The sequence below is a fragment of the Homo sapiens genome, chromosome 19 (assembly GCF_000001405.40).
Source record: "Homo sapiens chromosome 19, GRCh38.p14 Primary Assembly".
Lineage (NCBI taxonomy): Eukaryota > Metazoa > Chordata > Mammalia > Primates > Hominidae > Homo > Homo sapiens.
In genome coordinates this window covers 28285169-28291753 of record NC_000019.10, presented here as the reverse complement: position 1 = coordinate 28291753, position 6585 = coordinate 28285169, and the positions used below count along the sequence as shown (strand labels likewise).

The following is a 6585-nucleotide window of genomic DNA, read 5'->3' as shown; positions in this document are numbered from 1 at the left end:
GGAACCAGAAAAAAAAAGACACTTTTTCCTTGAATATAGGAGGAAAGGAACAGAAGTTGAAGGGAGAATCAGAATATTTGAGCAGACAAGAGGAGGGAATGTGACCTCAGGGTCCTTGGAGTTAAAGGCAGGAGGGGTGGGGGTCTTCCAGAAGGGGCTGTTCTGTAAGCCATCCCCCAGTGAGAAGCAGCAGTGCAGGAGATTTCAGCGCTCCCCTGGGAGTGGGGAGGCTGGGAATCTCTCCTCTTTTATCTGAAACACCAACCACTTTATTTATTTGCACCACTGGAAACTGAACTGCTCAGCAGGGCCTCTTTGTGAGGTATCTACAGGGGAGCAGAGGACAGGCTGAGCAGCATTTCAAGAAACGCTTGGGTGGAGGGAGTGGGGCAGGGAAGTAGGGGACTGGAGGGGCAGGTTGGGCTGGCAAAGATTCTCTGTTGACTGGCAGGGAGGGAGGGGGCAGAGGGCAGCTAGTGTCTTCCTCCACTGCAGCAGCAGTTGCTGGAGGCAGGGGCTGCTAGGCAGGCTGTCCAGGCTCCTTTGGGAATGTGTACATGGGGACTAAAATGTTTGGGGCAGAACCTCCTAGGGGCAGATGGAGGTGCAGTCTCCCTGTGATGGAATCCCTCCCTGCCTTTATCTCCAAAGCCACAGTGGGGTGATGGTGGGGCTGTTCCAGGCTCACAGGGCCCAGGGCAGGCTGTGGCTCAGGGAGACCATTTTGGTTCCCTGGGCTATATGGTGCCATTACCTGCACGTGGCTATTGGCACCTGAAATGTGGCTAGACTGGGATGAGCTGTGGCAAGTACACACCTGATTTCAAAAGTTTAGTGCCAAAGAATGTAAAATATCTGTTTCATATTTTTTAATATGGCTTACACATTGAAATACTAATATTATGGACATATTGGGATAGATAAGATACATGACTGCAATTAATTTTTTTGAGTTAATTTTTTTAAACTAGAAAATCTAAAGCTACGTATGTGGCTTGCATTATATTTAATTGGACAGCACTGCTCTAGGGAGAAGGATATCTAGGAACCCAGTGGTCGTGATGACCTAAAATAATCAAAAGGATCTGAATCTAGTTTAAAGAAAGTTTATTCAAGCGCAAAGTTGAGGACAGGCCCACCCAGGACATCACGTATACAGACAAAGCCTAAAAAAGTTTAACAGAATTTAAACATCTTTCTATGAGAGGCTTACTGCATAGTCATAGTGATCTGATTAGACGAGGTGGTCTTTTTCTTTCAGAAAACGTATATTTAACCTTCCACATTAAGGCTGTAACCGTGCTGAGGTCTTGGACACCATCTGGTCTGAGTTGGGTACAAGACTTTATGGTAATCATTTAATCTATATAATTTAATATATAACATTTGCTCTATAATCATTTAATCTATAATAACCCATGATTAGTCATTTACAGAACAACAACAAGGAAGAGTTAAACTCTCATCTAAGAAGAAAAACTGCAAATATGCTACATGACTCATTCCCCAGGGCTTGCCTTCCTCCTCGGCATAATACATTCAGAGGGTCCTAAGTTTTATTTTCTTTTACAGTTGGAGCCCCCTGGGTGAAGTTGAGGAAGGAAGACCTGCCCACAGCCCCAGTTCCCTGGAAGTCTGTGAATAGCAAGAAATGGGGCAGGCTGGGCTGTGCTTGCTGTCATCTCTGGGTGGGGGGAGATGGAGGCCTGGGCAGGAGTCCTAAGAATGCTGGGTGTCCATGGCTGCCTAGTCGCTGGGGTCTCTCCAGCAGAGGACGGTGTGGCTGTGCACCTTGTCCAATGCCAGGAAGCCAGCAGCCGGGGGTGGAACTCGGTATTCTGCAGGGATGTTGTGACTGACACAGTAATTATGGGTTTTTGCATTGTTTATGCCTCTCTGGGAGCAGAGCCAAATGCTATGAGCCGGTGGCTGCAAGGCACTCAGTAGATTTCATGACAGAGTATCATTGTATTTACTCTTTCAGGCCTCCCGGACTATTGGCGCCTCATGAAGCTTTAACACTATTTGCTGTTCTCATAATTAAATCACTGACTAAATAAAAAAAAAAAACAATAAAAGAAATACCAAATCATTCTAAACAGTGATCCAACATGGCTTGGGTGCATTCACATAAAAGCAACTTTCTGTCATTTTACATTTTTTTCTGCTCTGATCTGGGCTATGTGGGTGCTTTGATGCTGGGCTGGAATCAGGCAGCTGTGTCCTGCCCTGTCCGCCTGGCCTGCAGCTGAGGGCTGGAGCCCCCTGCACTGCCCCTCCCCACCCCCTGCAGACCCCAGGAGGAGGGAGGGAGCAAACTTTGCCAGTACCCAGGGTGGAAAAACTCTCTCTGCTGTAAACTAAAAATAAAATCCTAAGCCTCATCAACTAAACAGACATGCCTTGTGGTGAAGGGGACCCAGAGAAGTTGAGTTCCTGCCATGACAGGATGGGCGGTCAGACATGCCTCTTTATACCCCTCTCCTTTCTGGTTCAGACACAGCAAGTGACCAGCGTTCATGTTAAAATAGAGATCGTAAGACTGGCAGAATGGACTTTTGTGGCAATAGATACCAAATTGTAACCTGGACCTAAGATCCTGCCCCACACTCCCACACTTAAAGGAGAAACTGTGCTCTGTCACAGGTGTTTCTTTTCAAAACTCCAGCAGCTGAGCAAGCACTGGCCTGGAGATAAGCAATGTTAAAACAGTTACAAGTTACCCAGCTCACAGACGCAGGCTAACTGACCCCTGTCCCACCAGCCATAACTGCAGCCTGTACTAGATAAGAGGCTGATTTCAGTAACTTTCTCCCGATCAGAGACTGCTGACCATGGACTAGTTCTGGCTGGTTTTTGGAAGTTCTACAGTCATGTGCCTTGTGTTCTGAAAAGGCCTTTGGATGGGCTAATACAGTTAAATGTTGTCTCATCCCCAAAGTGAATATGCATCATATATAGTCACATGCATATATCAGGACCACCTTCATGAATATTCATGGATTCTCCTGCAATCTGTTGAATATGTATGTTTGGCCAACCTGCTCAGCATAGAGCTCCTGTCCCAAACCCCTTCTCTTTCAGAGTGCCTGTCTCTGGTCTTGGCCAAAGGCTATGCTTCCCAGCCTGCGGACAGCCACCTTGTAGGCTGTACCCTTTTATAAGAAAGCCTCCTTTTCTAATTTATACATCTTGTGATTTTTAAGTTAACACTGCTCAACTCTGAGCTGTTGGGAGAATAGGAGGTACCCTTGTCTATTTTCAGCCCACAAACATTTTTCCTCCTCTAGATGCATTTGCTCAGAACTGGATCAAAATTGTGTGTGTGTATGTGTGTGTGTATTTGTATATATTTGTGTGTGGTGTGTGTGCACATGCATGTAGATATTTTCCTCTTCAATTTCACAAAGTACACACGTATACTGAAATAAACTCCTTCTGGATCTGCTGAGTGTGAAATTGATGAGACTCCAGCCTGTCTCACTCTCACTTTCCCCCAGGAGTGCCTGCTCTGCGGGTGCCTGGGCTGAAGCAGGATGGGCTCTGGGTGACTCCTCTACTGGGGAGGTGGGTAGGGGAAAGCTGGCCAGGCTTGCTGCGTGCTGGGGTCCAGGCAGACAGAGCTCCCCTGGGAAGTTTTCTTCAGGCAGGAAAACTCACCCTGTGGGGCCTTCACCTCCCTTTAGCCTAAAACATATAGATATTAAATTTTCACTTATTTTTATTTGTGGAGTACATGTGTAATTATGTGCATAGACTTCATAGTGGTCAAGTCAGGGCTTTTAGGGTATCTGTTACCTGAATAACATACATTGTACCCATTAACTGATTTTTCATCATCCTTACCCCTCCCACCTGGCACCCTTCCCAGTCCCCTTCTCTCTCATTCCATTCTCTATGTCCACATGAACACATTTATCATCCACTTATGAGTGAGAACATGCGATATTTGTCTTTCTGTGAAATAATTTTAACATGGAAGCAATGTCTTTTGTTTTACCGTTAAGGCTAGGACGTTATTGCAGATTCCCCCAGTGTCTTAAATTTACACCACAGAGTAAATGACCCATTAGAACCTCTCCTGAAAAAGCCTTTGATTGTAGTAGAAGCAATGATGATGATGATAATGATGACGACGATGATGGCGATGATGATGTTGACGATGATGATGATGATGATGACGATGATGATGATGATGATGATGACAATGATGATCGTCGCAAATGCTTCCATAGCTCTAGCTGTGTGCTGGGCGCTGTTCTAAGTGTGTAAATAAAAGTGGTGTATATAAGAGTTAATTCACAAAATACACTAATGCCTTGTGGTCATTAAAGCCCAGAGAGGTCAGTAGCAGTACCAAGACTTGAATTTGCATATGTCTTTAACCTCTATACAATGCAAGGCATAAATCCGCCTGATAGCTAGAATCAGGCTTGGGGTTGTCGGTGCGGGGGAGTTTCCCAACAAACTCTTCAGATCCTCAGGTTGGTGGAAGTTGGATTCTGTGGAAATGGTGGCGGAAGCAGCAGGAGATGGGGTGATGTGGCTGCTTATTACTGGCAATATTTAGGCCAGAATTAGCAGTAATTTTTTCTTCAATTAGCAAATATTGGACACTTAGAAAACTGTCTTAGAAAATCATGTGTTAAAATCAAATATTTTAATCCAGCTCTTTTAACAGATTACATGGCAAAGATAATTAGGCTGCTGGGAACAGGATATAGTGTTTAATTAATGCATTAATTTTGAAAGCGAAATTCGATTGTTAAAGAAAATACAATAAAGGATTGAAACATGAAATTAGCATAGGAGCATTACCCATTTCTTCAAGCAGCTTACTGGGCATGATCTTTTTCCTGCTGTTTCCCGGGGGAGGTTAAGTAGGAAAGTAGGGTCATTTGTGTCTTGCAGGAGAATGAAACTCTGCCATCCTGTTTGTGGGGGTGGAGGTGGAGACATTAAAAAGACCCAGCCTTTATACTGTGCCCCCAAATGCAAACCCACATGAACTATCTGGCAGGTTCCTAGGTGCTAAGTGCACTTCCTGGTCTTTCATGTCACTAGAAGAGACATGGGGCTCGACTTACAGAGATGACAACACACTTGCTTAAAGCCTGAAGGGTATCACTGCCCCTGCCTGCAGCAAAACGTCAGCCCCGGCCCAGTTCCTCTCTCATCACCACTCCTGCCCCTTTCTTTTTCTTTTTAATTGACACATAATCATTGTACACAATTATGGGGTTAAATATTATGTTTCAGGGCATACATATGTTGTGCAATGATCAAATTTAATGAGATATCTGGAGCAATATTACTAGAAGAAGGATGAGGTTGTTTTAGGATACAAAATCAATGTACACAAATTCATATGGAACACAAAAAGAGCCCTCATAGCCAAAGCAAGACTAAGTAAAAACAACACATCTGGAGGCATCACATTACCTGATTTCAAACTATACTACAAGGCTATAGTGACCAAAACAGCATGGCATTGGTATAAAAACAGCCACACAGACCAATGGAACAGAATAGAGAACCCAGAAATAAAGTCAAATACTTACAGACAACTGATCTTCCATAAAGCAAACAAAAACAAAGTGGGGAAAAGATGCCCTATTCAACAAGTGGAGCTGCGATAATAGGTAAGCCACATGTAGAAGAATAAAACTGGATCCTCATCTCTCACCTTATACAAAAATCAACTCAAGATGGATCAAAGACTTAAACCTAAGGTGTGGAACCATAAAAATTCTAGAAGATAACATCAGATAATCTCTCCTAAACATTGGCTTATAACCAAGAACCGAAAAGCAAAGGCAACATAAACAAAAATAGATAAATGGGACCTAATCAAACCAAAAAGCTTCTGCACAGCAAAACAAATAATCAGCAGAGTAAATGGACAACCCACAGAGGGGGAGAAAATATTTGCAAACTATGCTTTTGACAAAGGACTAATATCCAGAATCTACAAGGTACTCAAACAGATCAGCAAGAAAAAGACAAATAATCCCATCAAAAAGTGAACAAAGGAAATAAATAAACCATTCTCAAAAGAATACATGAAAACAGCCAACAAACATATAGAAAATGCTCAACATCACTAATTATCAGGGAAATGCAAATTAACATCACAATGAGATACCCTTTACTCCAGCTACAATGGCCATAATTAAAAAATCAAAAACAATAAATAGTGTCAAAGATGTGGTGAATAGAGAAGGCTTTTACACTGCTGGTGGGAATTTATACTAATACAACCACTTGTTCTAGCCCATTACCTGTCATCCTCCACCCTCTTCTTCCCTTCCACCCTCCAACCTTTTCTTCCCCATTCACCCCTCACCTCCTCCATTTTTCTAGCCTCTTCTTCCCCTCCAACCTGCTTCCCCTCCACCATCCTTCCCTTCCACCCTCCTTCCCCTCCACCTCTTTCCCCTCCACCCTTCTTCCCCTCCACTATCCTTCCCCTCCTTTCTCTCCACCATCCTTCCCTTCCACCCTCCTTCCCCTCCAGCTCCTTCCCCTGCACCCTTCTTCCCCTCTACCTTTCTTTCTCCCTTCCCTCCCATCCTCTTTCCCCTC

At 44.0% G+C, this 6585-nt stretch overlaps 1 annotated feature.

The window, feature by feature from the left end:
• Positions 530-1061: an enhancer, noted in NCBI's record as "OCT4-NANOG-H3K4me1 hESC enhancer chr19:28781600-28782131 (GRCh37/hg19 assembly coordinates)". NCBI's record gives its function as "activates a minimal SCP1, AML or CMV promoter by ChIP-STARR-seq in naive H9 embryonic stem cells {active_cell/tissue: H9 hESC(naive)}" and the evidence as "EXISTENCE:reporter gene assay evidence [ECO:0000049][PMID:30033119]".